Here is a 22,419-nt window from a genome sequence, read left to right as displayed (position 1 = left end):
CTAGGGGAGGTCAGGAAAGGCTCCTTGAAGGAGGTCATGGTTGAGCCACAATAGGGAGAATAATTGTAGATTATCCAAGCAGGAGAACTGGGCGTGTAGAATAGGACTTTCCAAGCTAAGGAAACAGCACATGCAGAAGCCTTGCAATACATATCTATGGCTGCATTAACAACAAGCCTCAAACCCCAGTGGCTCAGAACAACACCCATGCATTATATCCTGTGGTTTCTGTGGGCTGGGAATTTGGGAGCAGCTCTGTTAGGCGTCTCTCATGAGGTTACAGTCACATATCATCTGTGGTTCCACCCATCTGCAGGTCTGATGGGGGCTGGAGTGCAGCTACTTCCAATATGGCTCACTCACCTGGCTGATAAATTGGTTTCTCTTCCTATGGGCCTCCCTGCAGGGCTGTTTGAGCATCCTTACAATATGGCGGCTGGTTTCCTGGGGAACACAAGGTGGTGCTGCAATGCCTTTTATGATCTAGCCTTGGAAGTCACTCACCTTCTCTTGGCCACATAAACTGGCCCTGACTATGGAAGAAGGCTTGGCAGGGCATGAATACCAAGAGGCAAGAGACATTGAGGGCCTTCTTGGAGGCTGGCCACCACATGTCTTAGGCAGAAAGAGGCTGGAACTGTCCATGATGTGGCTCAAGTGGAGTGGGTTAATAGGTGGGCAGCAGGAGCTGAAAGGACAAGACAGGGCTGGGCACTGAGGCCTTGTGGGCTGCAGCGGAGAAGGTAGGGTTGGGTTTACCCTAAGAGCCCTGAGAAGCCATTCAGGGGATTCGGTGAGGTAGGGAGGAGCTAACATGATCAGATTTGGGTTCTGATGAACTTCTTCCGTGGTGAATGGATGGTGAGGGGGCCAAGTAGCAGCCCAGGAATGAGGCTGGGCAGGCATCCAGCAGAAAGGTGAGGGTGACCTGGGCCAGGGGCCCAGGAGGGGCAGATCAGCTGACTCAAGGGCTCTTTGAAGGAAAAACCCACAGGGCTTGGCAGCAAGCCTCTTGTGATCCCCAACAGAGAGCTGTCTGCCTGCTCAAAGGCCCCACGAGGAGTAGGCGGCTCTACCCAGCACACGCTATGGGACTTGGGTTTCTGCAGATCTGATTCCTAGCTTAGGCAAGTCGAGCCTGGAGAGAGTGCTTCTGAGGCCCTTCCAGGGTAAGGGTGGTAAAGTGTCCCCATTGTTACTGAGTGCTGCTGTTCCTGCCCAGGGCCTCTGATGGGCCTGGCACTGAGCACGGTGTCTGGGATGACTCACCTTCAGCCTTCTGACTGACCGTAGCTCAGGACACGTGGCCAGCTCTCCACCAGCCTTCGTGCTCTGGGCTGCCTGGACCTCGGTTAGACTGGTCTCTGGGCCTCTCCTGGCCTCCCTGGAATGTGGCCTGGGAAGCAAGGAGCTATGGCCTGGCAGATCTTTCCTTTTCATTTACATTTTTTCTTTTTGGTGGGGACAGAGTCTTGTTCTGTCACCCAGGGTGGAGTGCAGTGGCATGATCTTGGCTCACTGCAACCTCCACCTCCCAGGTTCAAGTGATTCTTGTGCCTCAGCCTCCCGAGTAGCTGGAATTACAGGCGCCTGCTACCATGCCCAGCTAATTTTTGTATTTTTAGTAGAGATGAGGTTTCGCCATGGTGGCCAGTCTCGGACACCTGACCTCAAGTGATTCACTTGCCTTGGCCTCCCAGTGTGCTGGGATTACAGGCATGAGCCACCGTGCCCGGCCTAAATTTATTTTTTGTTTTTTAGAGATGTGGACTTACTCTGTTGCCCAGGCTAGAGTGCAGTAGCATGATTATAGCTCACTGCAGCCTCAAATTCCTGTCCTTAAGCAATCCTGCCCCAGCTTCCCAAAGCGCTGGGATCACAGGCATGAACCACCATGCCTGGCCTGGCAAGTCTGTCTTGTGGCATATTAGGAAATGTGACTTTGGAGGCTGAGAGGTGGAGGCAGAGTGAATGCCCATGAAATCTGTACCTGTTTTCTTTTAGAGGCTCCACTTCCTTCTCTCAGGTAAGGCATGAGCCACTGTACTCGACCTTTGTTTGGTCTTTCTTTTCTCCTTTCATTTTTTTTTTTTTTGAGACAGAGTCTCACACTTTCACCCAGGCTGGAGTGCAATGGTGCAATCTCGGCTCACTGCAAGCTCCGCCTCCCGGGTTCACGCCATTCTCCCGCCTCAGCCTCCCGAGTAGCTGGGATTACAGGTGCTCACCACCACGCCCAGCTATTTTTTTTGTATTTTTAGTAGAGACGGGGTTTCACTGTGTTAGCCAGGATAGTCTCGATCTCCTGACCTCGTGATCCGCCCGCCTTGGCCTCCCAAAGTGCTGGGATTACAGGCGTGAGCCACCGCGCCAGGCCTTCTCCTTTCTTTTCTTTTCTCTTTCCTTTCTCTCTCTCTTTCTCTCTCTCTCTTCCTCTCTTTCTCTCTCTTCCTCTTTTTCTCTCTTTCTCTCTCTCTTTCTTTCTCTCTCTTTTTCTCTTTCTCTCTTTCTCTCTCTGTCTCTTTCTCTCTTTCTCTCTCTTTTTCTCTTTCTCTCTTTCTCTCTCTTTCTCTCTCTCTCTTTCTCTCTCTCTCTTTCTCTCTCTCTGTCTCTCTCTCTCTTTCTCTTGCTTTCTCTCTCTCTGTGTGTCTTTCTCTCTCTCTCTTTCTTGATGGAGTCTCACTCTGTTGCCCAGGCTGGAGTGCAGTGGCACAATCTCAGCTCACTACAACCTCAAACTCCCGGGTTCAAGCGATTCTCCTGCCTCAGCCTCCCAAGTAGCTGGGATTATAGGTGTGAGCCACTGCACCCAGCTAATTTTCATATTTTTAGCATAGATGAGGTTTAACCATTTTGGCCAGGCTGGTCTCAAATTCTTGACCTCAAGCGATCCACCTGCCTCGGCCTCCCAAAGTGCTGGGATTACAGGTGTGAGTCACTGTGCCTGGCCCTTTGTTTGAGATTTCTAGTGGTCAAGTGAACAAAGCAAATGACCCAGGAACTGGAGACAAAACTAGGTTTGTAACCTGATCTGGTTTGGGTTTCTGTTTGTGAAATGGAAATGACACTGTTGTTGGGGGAAAAACAACTTTACTTTTATTTATTTTGAGACAGGGTCTCGCTCTGTCGCCCAGGTTGGAGTGCAGTGTTGTGATCTTGGCTCACTGCAACCTCCGCCTCCCGGGTTCAAGCAATTCTCCTGTCTCAGCCTCCTGAGTAGCTGGAACTACAGGTGCATGACACCACACACGGCTAATTTTTGAGGGTTTTTTTTGAGACAGAGTCTTGTTCTGTTGCCCAGGCTTGAGTGCAATGGCACGATCTTGGCTCACTGCAACCTCCGCCTCCTGGGTTCAAGCAATTCTCCTGCCTCAGCCTTCTGGGTAGCCGGGACTACAGGTGCACGCCACCATGCCCAGCTAATTTTTGTATTTTTAGTAGAGACAGGGTTTCACCATGTTGGCCAGGCTGGTCTCGACTCCTGACCTCAGGTGATCTGCCTGCCTTGGCCTCCCAAAGTGCTGGGATTACAGGTGTGAACCATCGTGTCTGGCCTAATTTTTGTGTTTTTAGTAGAGATGGAGTTTCACAATGTTAGCCAGGCTGGTCTCGAACTCCTGACCTCAGGTGATCTACCTGACTTGGCCTCGCAAAGTGCTGGGATTACAGGTGTGAGCCACCATGCCTGGCCTCATGTCCTATATGTTAATTCAACCTATATTTGCATTCCTCTGAAGCTTGTAGTCTGTGGAGGAGTCAGCACACTAAGGCCTGAAGGCCAAATCTGGCTGGCCATCTGTTTTTATAAATAAAGTTTTACTGGAACACAGTCATACCTACTCATTTACATATTGGTGATGGCTATTTCTGCACTTTGATGATGGCAGGTTTGAGTAGTTGGGGCATAGAATGTGTGGCTCATGAAACCCGAAATATTTATCTGGTTCTTTAGAGAAAATGTGTGCCAATCCCTGCTTTGTTCTTGTGGGACAGACAGATTACGATAGATAGTAAATAAGAAAATCTCAGGCTGGGTGCAGTGGCTTACACCTGTAATCCTAGCACTTTGGGAGGCGGAGGCAGGCAGATCACCTGAGTTCAGGAGTTCGAGACCAGCCTGGCCAACATGGTGAAACCCCCGTCTCTACTAAAAAAATACAAAAAATTAGCCAGGTGGTGGGTGCCTGGAATCCCAGCCACTCAGGAAGCTGAGGCAGGATAATTGCCTGAACCTGGAAGATAGAGGTTGCAGTGAGTTGAGATTGCACCACTGCACTCCAGCCTGGGTGACAGAGCAAGACTCTAAGAAAGAAAAAAAAAAAAAAAAAGAATCTTTGACAGTGGTAAATGCTACGAAAAAACAGTAATAGTAAAGCATGACTAGGTGGGTAAAGGGTTGCTTCCCAGTGGTCTGGGGAAGCCTCTGTTTTGAGGCAACGTTGAGCTGTGTGAATCTTCCAGAAGGTTGATTTGGGCAGAAGTGGCAGCAAAAACAAAGGCTTTGGGGCACTTAAGAACTTGAGAGGCCAGGGGCAGTGGCTCATACTTGTAATCCCAGTACTTTGGGAGGCTGAGGCAGGAGAATCGCTTGAGCCCAGGAGTTCAAGACCAGCCTGGGCAACATAGCAAGACCCTGTCTCTACCAAAACAAAACAAAACTAGTCAGACGTGGTGATGTGTACCTGTAGTCCCAGCTACTTGGGAGGCTGAGGCAGGGTGATTGCTTGAGCCCAGGAGTTGGAGGCTGCAGTGAGCTGTGATTGCACCACGACACTCCAGCCTGGGCGACAGAGTGAGACTCTGTCTCAAAAACACAAAATGTAAATAAAGCTAGGCCGGGTGCAGTGGCTCATGCCTGTAATCCTAGTACTTTGGGAGGCTGAGGTGGGCAGATCACTTGAGGTCAGGAGTTCGAGACTAGCCTGGCCAACATGGTGAAACTCTGTCTCCACTAAAAATACAAAAATTAACCGGGCGTGGTGGTGCGTGCCTATAATCCCAGCTACTCGGGAGGCTGAGGCAGGAGAATCACTGGAACCCAGGAGGCAGAGGCTGCAGTGAGCTGAGATGACACCACTGCATTCCAGCTTGGGGAACAAGAGTGAAACTCCGTCTCAAAAAAAAAAAAAAAAACACCCCAAAACTGGTGCTCAGTGAAGGGAGGAATAAGACTCACCCAAACAGGACCCTGTAAAAATAGTAAAATGCTTAGATTTTATTTCAAGAACAATGGGAAGTTCTGGAAGGTTTTAGTGGTGAAGAAGGGGATGGCATGTTCCAATTTATTTTTGTAAACATTTCTCAGGGCCAGGTGCAGTGGCTCGTGCCTGTAATCCCAGTGCTTTGGGAGGCTAAGGTAGGAGGATTGCTTGAGCCCAGGAGTTTGAGGCTGTAGTGAGCTATGATCATGTCACTGTACTCCAGCCTGTGGTGACAGTGAGACCCTAGCTGGGTTGCTGTTGTTGTTGTTTAAAAAAAGGCCGGACACGTAGCTCACACCTATAATCCCAGTACTTTGGGAGGCTGAGGCGAGTGGATCACTTGAGGTCAGGTGTTTGAGACCAGCCTGGCCAACATGGTGAAACCCCATCTCTACTAAAAATACAAAAAATTAGCTGGACATGGTGGCTCGTTCCTGTAGTCCCAGCTACTTGGAAGGCTAAGGCAAGAGAATTGCTTGAACCTGGGAGATGGAGGTAGCAGTGAGCCAAGATCACACCATTGCACTCCAGCCTGGGCATCAGAGTGAGACTCTATCTCAAAAAAAAAAAAAAAAAAAAAAAAAAAGGCCTGGTGCGGTGGCTTACACCTGTGATCCCAGCACTTTGAGAGGCCGAGGTGGGTGTATCACAGGTCAGGAGTTGGCCTGGCTAACATGGTGAAGCCTTGTATTTACTAAAAATACAAAAATTAGCCGGGCATGGTGGCAAGTGCCTGTAATTCCAGCTACTTGGGAGGCTGAGGCAGGTGAACTGCTTGAATCCGGGAGGCAGAGGTTGCAGTGGGCTGAGATTGTGCCACTGCACTCCAGCCTGGGTGACAGAGTAAGACTCTGTCTCTAAATAAATAAATAAATAAATAAATAAATAAAATAAAGCTTTCTAGCCGAAGCGTTTGGAAGGGACTCTCCAGGGCAGCTGGGAGGTCAGGGAGGAGGCTTCTAGAATGAAGTCCAGGTGAGTGATGATGGCAGTTTGGGCTGGGGTAGCAGGAGCGTGGATAAGTAGAAAGACTTGGCTTATATTTTAGAGGAAGAACCAGCAGAGCTTGCTCATGTTTTGCATGTGAGGCAAGGAGAGGCATGAAAGGAGATGCCTGGATTTTTTGCCCAGACAACTTGGAAGCAAATTCCAACTTGCAGGGTACCCTTAAGGCAAATCGTTTCCATATCTGAGTTTTTTCCCCATATCTGGAAGATGGGTCAAGCTATCTCTTCCTGACAAGGTTGACAATGCTGTTACAAAGGAAATCTAGCTTAGAGGAAGTCTCCAATAAATGCAGCTGGTCTCCTTGCGTTGAAGTCCCTGAGTAGGAGGTCTGTTCATCTGTCCCCTCTTCTTATTTCCTCCCCTGGCTCTAAGGTGGGTTAGGGGCCCTGATCATGGGTTCTGACAGGTTTATGGGCCTAAGGTTCACTCTGGTGAGACTGTCTTCTGTCATTCCCTTTCTGTTCCTACCCTAGTCCAGCTTCCTTCAAGTGCTATCCCTTTGGTCTCCCATGGCCTGGACAACTGGCCATCCCTGGGGCCACTGTTTTGCCCTCAGGTTCTGGATGAAAGACAGCTGGATTCATGGTCCGTACTGCTGAGTGAGTCTATGATCTTGGGTAAGTGGCCTCTGAGAGTCCTATGTGATGAATATTTCAGGCCATGGCAAACAGGGTCCTGCTACCTACCTTTTATGGTTAAGGATTAAATTAAATAATTCCCAGGCTGGGCAACATGGGACACCCTGTCTCTACAAAAATATATAAAAAATTAGTCAAGCCTGGTGGTGTGTGCCTGTGGGTCCCAGCTACTTGGGAGGCTGAGATGGGAGGATTGCTTGAGCTTGGGAGGCTGAGGTTACAGTGAATGGTGATCGTGCCACTGCATTCCAGCCTGGGTGACAGAGTGAGACCCTGTCTCAAAATAGAAGAAGGCTGGGCACAGTAGCTCAAGCCTGTAATTATAGCACTTTGGGAGGCTGAGGCAGGAGGATCACTTGAGTTCAGGAGTTTGAGACCAGCCTGGGCAACACGGCAAAACCTTGTCTCTACAAAAATTAACCAGGCGTGCTGGCGCATGCCTGTATTCCTAGCCACTCGGGAGGCCGAGGCAAGATAATTGCTTGAGCCTGGAAGGTGGAGGTTGCAGTGAGCCGAGATTGCACACCATTCCATTCCAGCCTGAGAGACGGGAGTGAAACCCTGTCTCAAAAAACAAAACAAAACAAAACAGCCAGGCGCGGTGGCTCACGCCTGTAATCCCAGCAATTTGGGAGGCCGAGGCAGGCAGATCACGAGGTCAGGAGTTAGACGCCAGTCTGGCCAACATAGTGAAACCTCGTCTCTACTAAAAATAAACAAAAAATTAGCTGGGCTTGGTGGCGGGCACCTGTAATCCCAGCTACTCAGGAGACTGAGGCAGGAGAATTGCGTGAACCCGGGAGGCGGAGCTTGCAGTCAGCCGAGATCGCACCACTGCACTCCAACCTGGGCTACAGAGCGAGACTCAGTCTCAAAAACAAAAAACAAACAACAAAAACAAAAAGCCCCAGGCACAGTGGCTCATGCCTGTAATTGCTTGAGCTCAAGAGTTCAAGACCAGCCTGGGCAACATAGTAAGACCCTGTCTCTATTAAAAAAAAAAAATTGAAAAAGAAAAAGTTATCTAAAGAGCCTGGTAGACTACGTAAGTGCTGATTCAATATTAATCGCTGGGAATTTTAGTCTTATTATTCAGTCTTCCTGGGTCCTGCCAAGTGTGAGCAATTCATAGCAAATGGAGGGTCTGTGTGAAGGTTCACTTCTGGCCAGGATGACCCTTCCCTACCAGCTGTTGGGGGAACTGTGTGTGCATGTATATGTACATGCATATAAACACATTCACTTGTGAATTTTATAATACAAATATTTTGCAATACAAAAATGTAAAAGTATGCCCTAATTTTAAACTCCTTTCTGGTGCTTCTTGTGGTTGAAGGTAAAGTACTTTTTAGGGCTAGGTGCCGTGGCTCATGCCTGTAATCCCAGCCCTTTGGGAGGCCGAGGTGGGCGGATCACTTGAGGTCAGGAGTTCAAGACAAGCCTGGCCAACATGGCAAAACACTGTCTCTGCTAAAAATACAAAAATTAGCTGGGCGTAGTGGCGCGTGCCTGTAATCCCAGCTACTCGGGAGGCTGAGGGAGGAGAATTGCTGGAACCCAGGAGGCAGAGGTTACAGTGAACCGAGATCGTGCCACTGCACTCCAGCTTGGGCAACAGAGTGAGACTCTGTCAAAAAAAAAAAAAAAAGAAAAAAAAAAAGAAAAAAACTTAGCCCCATTTACTAATAGTATTTTATTTACCATCTTATCAATTTTTCAGTGTACAGTTCAGTATATACACATTGTTGTGCAACAGATCTCTGGAATCATTTTGTAAAACTGAAACTCTTGAACAATAACTCCTTTTCCTCCTTCCCCCCCGGCCTTGGTAACCACTATTCTACTTTCTGTTTCTAAGATTTTGATTACTTTAGATACTTCATAAGTGGAATTGTATGGTATTTGTCTTTGTGTGATTAGGTTCTCTCACTGTGCGTAATGTCCTCAAGGTTCATCCATGTTGTAGCATATAATAAGATATTTTTTCTTTTCTTTTGTTTTTTGGAGACGGAGTTTCACTCTTGTCACCCAGGCTGGAGTGCAATGGTGTGATCTCAGCTCACTGCAACCTCCACCTCTCGGGTTCAAGCAGTACTCTTGCCTTAACCTCCTAAGTAGCTGGGATTACAGGTGCATGCCACCATACCCAGCTAATTTTGTATTTTTACTTTTATATTATTTATTTATTTATTTATTTATTTATTTTGAGATGGAGTTTCCCTCTTGTTGCCCAGGCTGGAGTACAATGGTGTAATCTCAGCTTACCTCAACCTCCACCTCCAGGGTTCAAGCAATTCTCCTGCCTCAGCCTCCGGAGTAGCTGGGGTTATAGGCATGAGCCACTATGTCCAGCTAATTTTGTATTTTTAGTAGAGATGGGGTTTCTCCATGTTGGCCAGGCTGGTCTCGAACTCCTGACCTCAGGTGATCCACCCGCCTTGGCTTCCCAAAGTGTTGGGATTACAGGTGTGAGCCACTGCACCTGGCCATTTTTTCTTTTTTAAAGACTGAATTAGGCTGGGTGCAGTGGCTTACACCTGTAATCCCAGCGCTTTGGGAGGCCAAGGCCAGCAGATCGCTTGAGCTCAGGAGTTTGAGACCAGCCTGGGCAACATGGAGAAATCCTGTCTCTACAAAAAATATAAAAAGTTAGCCCATTGTGGTGGCACATACCTGTAGTCCCAGCTACTTAAGAAGCTGAGGTAGGAGTATGCCTTGAGCCCAGGAGTTTGACACCTGCCTGGGCAACACAGCAAGACCCCATCTCTTAGCAGCAATATGATCTTTTTTTTTTTTTTTCCTGTCTCTTGGCTGTTGTGACTAATGCTGCAATGAAGACGGGTATGCAAATATCTCTTTAAGATCCTCTTTTCAATTCTTTTGAATTTATATCCAGAAATGGGATTGCTGGATCATATGATAATTCTATTTTTAATTTTTTTGAGGAACTTCCATGCTGTTTCTCATAGCAGCTCCACCATTTTATTCGACTCTCAACCGTGCACAAGGGTTCCAGTTTCTCCACATCTTCACCAACACTTATTATTTGACAGTGGCCATTCTAAGGGGTCTTAGGGATATTTCATTGTGGTTTTGATTTGCATTTCCCTGATGACCAGTGATGTTGAGCATCTTTTCATATGCCTGTTTTCTATTTGCATATCTCCTTTGGGAAAGTATGTATTCAAATCATTTGCTCTTTTTGTTTGTTTTTGAGACGGAGTCTCGCTCTGTTGCCCAGGCTGGATGGAGTGCAGTGGTGCAATCTCGGCTTGCTGCAAGCTCCACCTCCTGGGTTCACACCATTCTCCTGCCTCAGCCTCCTGATTAGCTGAGACTACAGGCGACTGCCACCACGCCTGGCTAATTTTTTGTATTTTTAGTAGAGATGGGGTTTCACCACGTTAGCCAGGATGGTCTCGATCTCCTGACCGCGTGATCCGCCTGCCGCCTGGGCCTCCCAAAGTGCTGGGATCACAGGTGTGAGCCACCGCACCCAGCCCATTTGCTCATTTGTAAATCGAGTTTTTGTTGTTGCATTGTAGAAATTTATTATTTTTTAAATTTTTATTTGAGACAGAGTTTCTCTCTTGTTGCGCAGGCTGGAGCGCAATGGTGCAATCTCGGCTCACTGCAACCTCCGCATCCCAGGTTCAAGTGATTCTCCTGCCTCAGCCTTCCGAGTAGCTGGGATTACAGGCACACCACCATGCCCAGCAAATTTTTATATTTTGAGGAGAGACAGGGTTTCACCATGTTGGCCAGGCTGGTCTCAAACTCTTGACCTCAGGTGATCCACCCGCCTTGGCCTCTCAAAGTGCTGGGATTACAGGCGTGAGCCACCAAGCCTGACGGGTAGTAATTTATTTTTTATATAATTTTTTTCTTCTTTTTTTGGTAGAGACGAGGTTTTGCCATGTTGCTCAGGCTGGTCTAAAACTACCGGGCTCAAGTGATCTGCCTACCCGGGCCTCCCAAAGTGCAGGGATCACAAGCATGAACCACCATGCCTGGCTGTAATTTTTCATATATTCCGGATATTAACCCTTTACCAGATAATACAGTTTGCAAACTTTTTTTTTCCCCATTCTGTAGGTTGCCTTTTCACTGTTGGTCATTTCTTTTGCTGTATAGCTATCCTTAAGTTTGTTGCAAACCCATTTGTCTATCTTTTGTCTTGTTGCCTGTGTTTTGCTGTCATATCCAAGAAATCATTGCCAAATCCATTGTCATGAAGCTTTTCCCCATGTTTTCTTCTAGGAGCACTATAGTTTCAGGTCTTATGTTTAATCTTTAATAAGTTTTGTGTTTTTGTATATGGTGTAAGGTAAGGGTCCAACTTCATTCTTTTGTATGTGGTTATACAGTTTTCTCAGCACCATTTGTTAAAGACACAATCTTTCCCCCATGTTCTGGTGCTTTAAAAAAAAAAAAAATTCTGGCTGGTTACGGTGGCTTAGGCCTATAATCCCAGCACTTTGGGAGGCTGAGGCAAGTGGACTGCTTGAGGCTAGGAGTCCCAGACTAGCCTGGCCAACATGGTGAAACCCTGTCTCTACCACCGAAGATACAAAAATTAGCCAGGCGTGGTGGAGTACGCCTGTAATCCCAGCCTACTAGGGAGGCTGAGGCATGAGAATCGCTTGAACCTGGGAGGCAGAGGTTGCAGTGAGCCAAGATCTCACCACTGCACGCCAGCCGGGGTGACAGAGTGAGGCAGGGTCTTACCCTGTCGCCCAGGCAGGAGTCCAGTGGCCCAATCATGGCTCATTGCAGCCTACACTGCCAGGGTTCAAGCCATCCTCCCACCTCAGCCTCCCAAGTAGCTAGGATTACAGGTGTGTGTCACCATGCCCAGCAAATCTTTGTATTTTTTGTAGAGATGGGGTATCCCTATGTTGCTCAGGCTGGTCTTGAACTCCTAACCTCAAGCGATCCTCCCACCTGGGCCTCTCAAAGCACTGGGATTACAGGCGTGAGCCACTGCGCCTGACATGGTGCTTCTTAATTTATTCTTACTTTTTATTTTTATTTTTTTGAGACAAGGTCTTGCTCTGTCTCCCAGGCTGGAATGTAGTGGTACAATCATGGCTCACTGCAACCTCTGCCTCTCCGGTTCAAGTGATCTTCCTGCCTCAACCTCTGGAGTAGTTTGGACTATGGGCACATGCCACAACGACTAGCTAATTTTTGTTTTTCTTTTTTTCTTTCTTTCTTTCTTTCTTTTTTTTTTTTTTTGAGATGCAGTTTCTCTATGTTACCTAGGCTGGTCTAAAACTCCTGGGCTCAAGCGATCCTCCCACCCTGGCCTCCCAAAGTGCTGGGATGACAGGCGTGAGCCACGTGGTGCTTAAAAAAGGCAACAAAAAACCCCCCACACACTGGGTATAGAAGTGGCATGGGCCTCTATACACTGTGAGATTCTTGGTACTAGCTACAAATTCTGTGTATACTCAAGATTTTCTAGAGTAGGTGCAATTACCCCGTTTTACAGATGAGGACACAGAGGCTGAGCCGTAGTGACCCACCTAAGGTCGTATAGCCAGCAAATAGATGGAGGTTGGATTGGAACTGAGGACTTTACTCAAGGGCTCTCACAAACCCTTGGGGGCTTCTCGCTGCTTTATCCCCATCACACCTGAAAGAATGAATGAATGAATGCCTCGGGCACCGTGCCCACCTCCCAGCAAACCGTGGAGCTTGGACGAGCCCACTGCTCCGCGTGGGGGGGGTGTGTGCCCGCCTTGCGCATGCGTGTTCCCTGGGCATGGCCGGCTCCGTTCCATCCTTCTGCACAGGGTATCGCCTCTCTCCGTTTGGTACATCCCCTCCTCCCCCACGCCCGGACTGGGGTGGTAGACGCCGCCTCCGCTCATCGCCCCTCCCCATCGGTTTCCGCGCGAAAAGCCGGGGCGCCTGCGCTGCCGCCGCCGCGTCTGCTGAAGCCTCCGAGATGCCGGCGCGTACCGCCCCAGCCCGGGTGCCCACACTGGCCGTCCCGGCCATCTCGCTGCCCGACGATGTCCGCAGGCGGTAGGTACCATGGGGGGGAACACGGACTCAGGGGGACAGGCAGGGCGCTGGGTGGGGGGTCGCTTCCCCTCGGGGTGGCCGGTGGCCGCTGCTGACAGACGGGCGCGCATGCGTGGGGTGGTGCGGCGCGCAGCGGCAGTTGGCGCGGGCAGGGTGGCACTTCCGGTCGCGCGTGCCCGGGCTGTTTGGCGCCAAAATGGACCGTGGATTCCCCCGTAGCTCCCTGGTGGCTAGAAACTAGGCGGGGTGGGGGTTCTCTTTTGATCCCCAAATACAGCAAGCTTTGGGTTCGTTTCCGGGGTCCCCTTCTTCAAGCAGCGGTGGGCCGGGCTCTTGACTCCAGCTTGGTCGCACAGGAAGTGGGCAGCCCGCGGCCAACGGACACCCCTCGGGCACCGGCACTTCGGCCTCCACTTCCGGTGTCCGGCCCGGTCCCCGGGGGCGCTTCTGTGGTGGGGGGTCCCTCAGTGCCTTTCCCCCAAAGCTGTGCATCTCGATGGCGGCCTCCAGAGACGGATGTCACCCGTCGGGGCCTGGGCTGGGCTGGCTCATGTTCGAGAGCCCAGCCTTCCGTGGGGTACTCATTCTGTCAGTTGGGACTGTGTGGTTCTTGCTCCTTGGGAAAGTCCATGTTTTGGCAGGAACTTTAACCGTGCATTGCAGCGCAGGGCCCGGGAAGCGTGAAGGCTGCATGGTTGGTCTTTTCCTGTAAATCTGTGCCTGTGAGCCGTGGGCATCAGGGAAGTCTTGCTAATGAGAACTGGCTACACTTTCGTGTGTGTTTGTGTGTGTTCATGGGTGTGTTCTTTAGTGTGTGTCTAATGTTGGAGGCCCTGGCTTTAGCAGTTCATGCCTCTGTCCAACTTCCGTGCACAAGGATCAGTGGGAGCACTGGTCCCAGCCCCTTGTTCATGAACGCCATCAGTTCATTCCTGAAAACTTGTTCAAGTGAGGTGTGCGTGAGTCAGAGGAACCCTCACCAGGCGTGGACACTTCCAGCTGGATTTGTGAAAGCACTCTTTGCCATTTTTCTATTTCCTTAGGCTTGTTAACTGACCTGGTTGGGCCAGTCCGGTTCTGATTTGGGTCTTTGGGGAGGGATGGATATTTGGTTCAACCCCCGCTTTTTTTCTTTTCTTTTTTTTTTTTTTTTTGAAGGCTGGGTGCTGTGGCTTATGCCTGTAATCCCAGCAATTTGGGAGGCAGTGGCGGACGAATCTCTTGAGCCAGGAGTTTGAGACCAGCCTGGGCAACAAGGCAAAACCCCATGTCTACTAAAAATACAAAAATTAGCCTGGAGTAGTGCCGTGCGCCTGTGGTCCCAACTACTCAACAGACTAAGGTGGGAGTATCACTTGAGCCCCAGAGGTTGAGGCTGTGTGTAGCGAGCTGAGATCGCGCTATTGCACTCCAGCCTGGGTGACAGAGTGAGACCCTGTCTCAAAAAAAGAAACACTTTTTATTTTTAGAGATGGGTCTCACTCTGTTGTCCAGGCTGGAGTGCCCTGGCACAATTATAACTCACTGTAGCCTTGAACTCCTGGGCTTAAGGGATCCTCAGCCTCCTGAGTAGCTGGGACCACAGGCGCCCACCACCATGCCCAGATGACTTTCTTAGTTTTTGTTTCTGTATACGTGAGGTTTCACCATATTGCCCAGGCTGGTCTTAAACCCCTGCCCTCAAGCAGTCCTCCTGCCTTTGTGTCCCAAAGGTTAGGATTACAAGTATGAGCCATCATGCCTTAACTACTACTTTTTTTTGTTTGTTTGTTTGAGATGGAGTCTCATTCTTTCACCCAGGCTGGAATGCGGTGGCGTGATCTCGGCTCACTGCAACCTCCACTTTCAGGGTTCAAGTGATTCTCCTGCCTCAGCCTCCGAAGTAGCTGGGATTACAGGTGCACACCACCACGCCTGGCTAATTTTTGTGTTTTCAGTGGAGTCGGGGTTTCTCCATGTTGGTCAGGCTGGTCTCGAACTCCTGACCTCGTGATCCACCTGCCTCAGCCTCCCAAAGTGCTGGGATTATAGTCAAACCACTTCTTAACCAGTTAGTGGGTATATATCTTCTTGAATCATCTGTGCCAGTATTCTCCCAAAATAAAACTTGATTTAAAATGGAATGGAAGTGAAATTATGAAAGTGCCTGGCTTCATGATGTTACACCCAATTCAGAGAAGTTTGGGCCCGGCCTTCCTTTTTTATTCCTTTTTTTTATTTTGTAGAGATGGGGTCTTGCCATGTTGCTCAGGCTGGTCTTCGATTCCTGGCCTCAAGCGATCCTCCTGCCTCAGCTTCCCAAAGTGTTGGGATTACGGGTGTGAGCCACCATGCCCAGCCTGCCCAGCCTTCTTGAAAACATGACCTCCACTGGCTCAATGACCTTAAACAAGCGTATGCCACCTCTATATCCATAGTCTAGGAATAATGACATGGGTTTTCAGCTGGTATTGGGTTAAATGAGAATATGCATGGCACATAAAGGTTCACATGCTAGTGGCTAACTTAGCTTGTTTTTTTCAGTTTTTTTTTAAGAGACAGGATCTCACTGTGTCACCCAGGCTGGAATGCAGTGGCACAGTCATGGCTTACTGCAGCCTTGAACCCCTGAGCTCAAGCAATCCTCCTGCCTTAGCCTCCTGAGTGGCTGGCACATGCCACCATGCCCAAGTTAATCCTTAAAAAATTTTTTAGAAGGCTGGGCGCGGTGGCTCACGTCTGTAATCCCAGCACTTTGGGAGGCTGAGATGGGCAGATCACCTGAGGTCAGGAGTTTGAGACCAGCCTGGCCAACGTGGCGAAACCCCATCTCTACTAAAAATACAAAAAAATTAGCCAGGTATGGTGGCAGGTGCCTGTAATCGCAGCTACTCGGGAGGCTGAGGCAGGATAATCGCTTGAACCCAGGAGCCGAGATTGCACCGTTGCACTCCAGCCTGGGCAACAGGAGCGAAACTCTGTCTCAGAAAAAAAAAAAATTTTTTTTTTTAGAGATGAGGGTCTTGCTTTGTTGCCCAGGCTGGTCTTGAACTCCTGGACTGAAGCAATCCTCTGCGTTGGCCTCCCAAAGGGCTGAGATTACAGGCGTGAGCCACAGGGCCCGGCCATTATTCCTCAAGAGTTCTTAAAAGTGGATGCTGCAGGAGTTAACTGCCAGGAAGCAGGAATTCCTGCTAAGGTCTGCTGCTTGCCAAAGCCTTTCCCTTCAACAGGGGTTGCCAGTAGGCCACTGGCTCAGGGGCTCTGTTGGCCCTGTGCAAATATTTTGTTTGGCTGAATTGGAATACCATTAGGTGAGCCTTACAATCCACCACTGACCCTGGGTTCCACATTTCTTTACACTCAGATTGCTTCACTGTAGGCATTGGAGTTTTGGAGGACTGCTTTTGACCATGTGGTAGACATTGAAATTGTAGTTTATATGACTCACTCCACAGACTTTTTTTTTTTTTTTTACATTTTGAAAATATTTCATTAAATGAAAAATAAACATGGTATCCAACAGTACTTGAAACTTAGATTTTTTTTTTTTTTTAATTGAGGCAGGGTCTTGCTCTGTGGCCCAGGCTAGAGTGCAATGGTGTGATCTCAGCTCACTGCAGCCTCCGCTTCCCGGGTTTAAGCAATTCTCCTGTCTCAGCTTCCCAAGTAGCTGGGATTACAGGTGTGCACCACCACGCCCAGCTAATTTTTCTTTTTCCCCCTCGAGGCTGAGCCTTGCTCTGTCGCCCAGGCTGGAGTGCAGTGGCCGTGATCTCGGCTCACTGCAACCTCCACCTCCCGAGTTCAAGCAATTCTCCTACTTCAGTGTCCCAAGTAGCTGGGATTACAGGCGCCCGCCACCAAGCCCAGGTAATTTTTGTATTTTTATTAGAGACTGGGTTTTGCCATGTTGACCAGGCTGGTTTCAAACTCTTGATCTCAAGTGATCCACTTATCTTAGCCTCCCAAAATGCTGGGATTACAGGTATGATGGTGTCCAGCCGGTTCATTGTTTTTATTTTATTTTATTTTATTTTATTTTATTTTATTTTATTTTATTTTATTTTATTTTTGAGACAGAGTCTTGTGCTGTCGCCCAGGCTGGAGTGCAGTGGTGCGAACTTGGCTCACTGCAACCTCCCCCTCCCGGGTTCAAGTGATTCTCCTGCCTTAGCCTCCTGAGTAGCTGGGATTACAGGCATGTGCCACCACGCCCGGCTAACTTTTTCTTATTTTTAGTAGAAACCGGGGTTTACCGTGTTGGCCAGGCTGGTGTTGAACTCCTGGACTCAAGTGATTCGCCTGCCTCAGCCCCGCAAAGTGTTGGGATTACAGGCATGAGCCACCGTGCCTGGCCTTTTAATTCATTCTTAAGCCTGCTCTCAGACAGCTAGGCTTGCTTCTCCACAATAAAGAGTGTTGAATTTTGTCGGTGTATCCCGCATGGTGCCATTATAACACTGAAATTAGTGATTATTTCAGGGTCTGTTACCAGAGCGTGTCTGCCGTATTCACTGTATCTGCAGCTTGGAGCACAGTAGACTCAAATGCTTGCATGCCAGCTCTTCCCCTGTACAGCCTGGATTAACACTGATGCTAGCAGACTCCTTTGCACAACTGATTAGCTTTCGTAACTACCACAGCTTTCTTACTGCTAGTCATTCTGTGATGGGATTAAGCTAGGTCTTGAACTCCTTAACTCCAGTTCCTTGGCTACTACTGAGTACATACTGAATAAGGCAAAATTGACTTACCTCTTTTGTTTTGCTCCCCTGTGGTAGAATTCTAGGGGTACAGACTGCTGGGTTTCAAATGCCGCCCTACTTGCCAGCCGTATGGCTAAGTTATTGAACTTCTTGGTGCCTTGGTGTTTCATCTATAAAAAGGGGGTGGGGCTGCCTGCTCGACAGGGGTGTTAGGAAGACTGAGCTTATCAGTACAGATATGTTGAGAGCAGCACCTGTCCAAAGCCCTTCATCACTGGTTATTACGTGGTACTGTGTGTACAGTGGGGATGCTGTGGGTTTGGTTCCAGACCACTGCAGTAAAGTGAATCTAGCAAGAAAGTGAGTCACACACACATTTTGGTTTCCTAGTATGTGTAAAAGTTATTAGACTAGGCCGTGTGCAGTGGCTCATGCCTGTAATCCCAGCAGTTTGGGAGGCCAAGGCAGGAGGATCGCTTGAGCCAAGGAGTTCAAGACTAGTCTGGGCAACATAGGAAGACCCCCCCCATCTCAAAAAAAAAAATAAAGCCAAAAGTGGTGGCATGCACCTGGGGTCCCAGCTACTCGGGAGGCAGAGGTGGGAGGATCACTTGAACCCATGAGGTCGAGGCTGCAGTTTGCCATGATTGTGCCACTGCACTCCAGCCTGGGTGAAGGAGTGAGACTCTGTCTCAAAAAAAAAAAAAAATCAGCTGGGCGTGGTGGCTCACGCCTGTAATCCCAGCACTTTGGGAGGCCAAGGTGGGCAGATCACGAGGTCAGGAGATCGAGACCATCCTGGCTAACACGGTGAAACCCCGTCTCTACTAAAAATACAAAAAAAATTAGCCAGGCATGGTGGCACACGCCTATAGTCCCAGCTCCATGGGAGGCTGAGGCAGGAAAATTGCTTGAACTTGGGAGGCGGAGGTTGCAGTGAGCCGAGATCATGCCACTGAACTCCAGCCTGGGCAACAGAGCGAGACTCCGTCTCAAAAAAAAAAAAAAAATCATCTGAGTCTTCAGCGATTCATAATCTTTTTGCAGGTGGAGGGTCTTGCCTCAAACTTGCCGGCTTAAAGGACATACATTTATTACCTTATGCAGGTCAGAAATCTGATGTGGGTTTCACCGGATGAAAATCAAGGTGTAAGCAGGCTGCATTCCTTTCTGGGGGCTCCAGGGGAGAATCTGTTTCCTATTTTGGGGTGTTGGCAGAAGGTGGTAGTTGTAAGACTCAGGTCCCATTTTCTTCACTGGTTCTAAACTGAGGGTCGTTGCCCGCTTCTGGAGGCGGTCTCATCCCTCGGCTCATGCCCCCTTCCTCTACCTTTAAAGTCAGCATTTGCGGGTTGCATCTCTCTCTGACCCGTCCTCCAACGTTGCCCGCTCTCTGCAGCTAGAAAGGTTCTGTGTTCTTAAGGGCTGAAGTGATTAGATTGGGCCCACCCCAGATAATCCAGGATAATCTCCCCATCTCAAGGTCTGTATTCTTAGTTACATCTGCAAAATCGCTTTGGCCACGTAAAGTAATATATTCACAGGTTCCAGGGATTAGGGCATGAACATTTTTCGGTGGGTCCACTCTTTTTGAGATGGAGTCTCGCTCTGTCACCCAGGCTGGAGTGCAGTGGCATGATCTCGGCTCACTGCAACTTCTGCTTCCTGGGTTCAAATGATTCTTGTGCCTCAGCCTCTTGAGTAGCTGGGATTACAGGCGTGAGCCACCAAGCCCGGTTAATTTTTGTATTTTTAGTAGAGATGGGGTTTTGCCATGTTTCCCAGGCTGGTCTTGAACTCCTGAGCTCAGGTGATCTACCCGCTTCAGCCTCCCAAAGTGCTGGGATTACAGGCATGAGCCACTGTGCCCAGTGGGTCTACTCTTTTGCCTACTGCGGATGCCTTCTTGGGCAGCCCTGCTCCAGCTGCCATGCAGCCGGCCTGAAGAAGCTGGTTTGACAGAGACTTGTAACTTGTCTTGCATGGTCCACTATATTTTATTTTTAGAGACAAGGTCTTGCTGTGTCACCCAGGCTGGAATGCAGCGGCACAATTATAGCTCACTGGGCTCTAGTGATCCTCCTGCCTCAGTCTCCTGAGTAGCTAGGACCACAGGTGCATGCTGCCACACCAAGCTAATTACTATTTTTTGTTTAGGCAGGGTCTCTGCTGTGTTGCCCAGGCTGGTCTTGAATTCCTGAGCTCTATTGATCCTCCCGCTTTGGCTTCCCGAGTAGCTAGGCCTATAGGCACATGCTAGCACACCCAGCTAATTACTAATTACTATTTTTTGTAGAGACAGGGTCTCGCTGTGTTGCTCAGGCTGGTCTTGAATTCCTGGGCTCTAGTGATCCTCCCGCCTCAGCCTCCTGAGTAGCTAAGACTATAGGTGCATGCCACCACACCCAGCTAATTACTATTTTTTGTAGAGACAGGTTCTCGCTGTGTTGCCCAGGCTGGTCTCAAATTCCTGGGCTCTAGTGATCCTTCCGCCTCGGCCTCCTGAGCAGCTAGGAGTACAGGTGCGTGCTGTCATACCCAGCTAATTACTGTTTTCTCGTAGAGACAGGGTCTCACTGTATTGCCCAGGCTGGTCACAAATTCCTGAGCTCTAGTGATCCTCCCGCCTCTGCCTCCCGAGTAGCTAAGACTATAGGTGCATGCTACCACAGCCAGCTAATTATTCTTTCTTGTAGAGACAGGGTCTCGCTCTGTTGCCCAGGCTAGTCTCGAATTCCTGGGCTCAAGTGATCTTCCTGTCCTGGCTTCCCGAGTGTAGAGATTACAGGCATGAGCCACTGCGCCCAGCCATGGTCTGCTGTATTTCAGACGAGCATTTCTGGCGTAGAGGTGTTAGAGTAATCTAACATTTTATAATTTCTTCCTATCCAATCTATACTAGATACCTCTGCTGGGTTAGTTTTCTTAACACGGCTCTGATGTCATTGGTTCTACTTCCCCTTGACTGCTTTGGTGTTTGTTAACTATGGAACAAGATGGATAAGTGTGATGCTTTTGCCCTCCCTCCGACTGTCCCCAGCCACCTCTCTGGAGGTGCCTTTCCCTCCCTGTATGTGGCCAGTCTCACGTTTGTTTCTTGTGTGTTTCCAGAACCAGCCACTTCTCAATGGTGCCCCTGTTTGAGCAGCTTCCTGTGCCCGGTTCACACAGAGCTGTCAACTTCTTCCTGAGGCTGTTATACCCTTTCTCTTGGGAATCCCGCAGGCGTGAGCTGTATTTGCCTTATTCCTCTGTGGTTGTTTATATATATCTTTTTTTTTTTTTTTTTTTTTGAGACGGAGTTTCACTCTTGTTGTCCAGGCTGGAGTGCAATGACGTGACCTTGGCTCACCGCAGCCTCCACCTCCCGGGTTCAAGCGATTCTCCTGCCTCAGCCTCCTGAGTAGCTGGGATTATAGGCATGTGCCACCATGCCTGGCTGATTCTGGATTTTTAGTAAAGACGAAGTTTCTTCATGTTGGTCAGGCTGGTCTCGAACTCCTGACCTCAGGTGATCCGCCCGCCTCGGCCTCCCAAAGTGCTGGGATTACAGGCATGAGCCACCGTGCCTGGCCAGCTGTTTATATATATCTTATCTCCCCTCTGCAGAGGGTTCATCTCTGAGGGAAGCACTAGGAAGGAATCATAGGGTCTCAGGCTGGGCACTAAGCCGGCATTCTGAGTCCTCTGCTCCGTCCTTCACGGCTGTCTGCGACCCTCCTGGCTTCAGCAGGTGTGATCGGTGTCATCACAGTTTTACCAGGGAAGGGATGTCGCTAAAGTTACCCTCCCGCCAGCTCCTCACTGCCTGCCTGGGATCCCACCTGCCACTCTGGGGCCAGGCAGGTTAAATCCAGTTTCTACTGGATGAAACATTCTAGGGGTTTTGAAGGTTTCTCTATTCTCTTTGCCAGGCTAAATATCCCAGTTCATATGAGGGGTTGAAAGAAAGCAGACCCATTCTGCAAGGACACCTTGGTCTCCGCAATCAGTTGAACCTTGTCCTTCACACCCCAGGCAACCTCGGGATCAGGGGACTGGCTGGCTTGGTCGAGGTAGAAGCCATGTCCTTCCAGTTTTCTCAGCGGCGTGACTGAGAAGTCAAGTGTAACGCTATTACCACAGCGTGTGTGCCTCTGGCTGGAAGTACCAGTTTCTGTAGCCCTCCTGACTTAAGGCTCTCCTTGGACCCCAGTTGCTACAAGGGTAGAATGACTTTTGCCTGGAAGAGGTTCCTTGTGCTCCTGGAAATCCTGATGTCAAAGCATCTTTTTTTTTTTTTTTTTTTCTTTTGAGACAGGGTCTTGTTCTGTTGCCCAGGCTGAACAGGCTGGATTGCAGTGGTACCATCATAACTCACTGCAGCCTCAACCTCCCAGGCTCAAGCGATCCTCCCACCTCAGCCTCCCAAGTAGCTGGTACCACAGGTGCACACTAACCACACCCAGCTAATTTTTACATTTTTTTTGTAGAGATGGGATCTCTCAGTGTAGCCCAGGCTGGTCTCAAACTCCTGACCTCAAGTGATCCTCCTGCCTTGGCCTCCCAAGGTGCTGGGATTACAGGCATGAGCCACTGCGTCTTGCCTGGCCTTGTAGCACCTTGAGTCCAAGTGATACAGTATATATAATATACAGTCTATATTACCACTGTGTTTGTAGGGTGCTAAGTGTCTCTTCTACAGAGCAGTCTTTTTTTTTTTTTTTTGAGACAGAGTTTTGCTCTGTTGCCCAGGCTGGAGTGCAGTGGCATGATCTTGGCTCACTGCAAGCTTCACCTCCCGGGTTCACGCCATTCTTCTGCCTCAGCCTCCTGAGTAGCTGGGACTACAGGCGCCCACCACCACGCCTG

At 49.2% G+C, this 22,419-nt stretch overlaps 1 protein-coding gene across 4 annotated transcripts in view, besides 3 other annotated features; it reads left to right on the top strand.

The window, feature by feature from the left end:
- Positions 7,038-7,538: an enhancer, noted in NCBI's record as "H3K27ac hESC enhancer chr19:10310838-10311338 (GRCh37/hg19 assembly coordinates)". NCBI's record gives its function as "activates a minimal SCP1, AML or CMV promoter by ChIP-STARR-seq in primed H9 embryonic stem cells {active_cell/tissue: H9 hESC(primed)}" and the evidence as "EXISTENCE:reporter gene assay evidence [ECO:0000049][PMID:30033119]".
- Positions 12,314-12,543: an enhancer, noted in NCBI's record as "active region_13940". NCBI's record gives its function as "activates an Ori minimal core promoter by ATAC-STARR-seq in GM12878 lymphoblastoid cells {active_cell/tissue: GM12878}" and the evidence as "EXISTENCE:reporter gene assay evidence [ECO:0000049][PMID:35858748]".
- The window catches only part of DNMT1 (DNA methyltransferase 1), a 61,608-nt gene continuing 51,935 nt past the window's right edge, over positions 12,747-22,419 (top strand). For all 4 annotated transcript variants that reach the window (NM_001318731.2, NM_001379.4, NM_001318730.2 and 1 more), the window contains exon 1: positions 12,747-12,880. Coding sequence is in view for 3 of the 4 variants with exons in the window: in NM_001379.4 (NP_001370.1) it covers positions 12,801-12,880 (80 nt within the window). In the remaining variant the exon portion in view is untranslated. The remainder of the gene's footprint in view (positions 12,881-22,419) is intronic.
- Positions 12,804-13,043: a silencer, noted in NCBI's record as "silent region_10057". NCBI's record gives its function as "represses an Ori minimal core promoter by ATAC-STARR-seq in GM12878 lymphoblastoid cells {active_cell/tissue: GM12878}" and the evidence as "EXISTENCE:reporter gene assay evidence [ECO:0000049][PMID:35858748]".

Source organism: Homo sapiens, chromosome 19 (genome assembly GCF_000001405.40).
Source record: "Homo sapiens chromosome 19, GRCh38.p14 Primary Assembly".
NCBI lineage: Eukaryota > Metazoa > Chordata > Mammalia > Primates > Hominidae > Homo > Homo sapiens.
The sequence above is the reverse complement of the archived record's forward strand: the minus strand, read 5'-3'. Positions and strand labels throughout refer to the sequence as shown.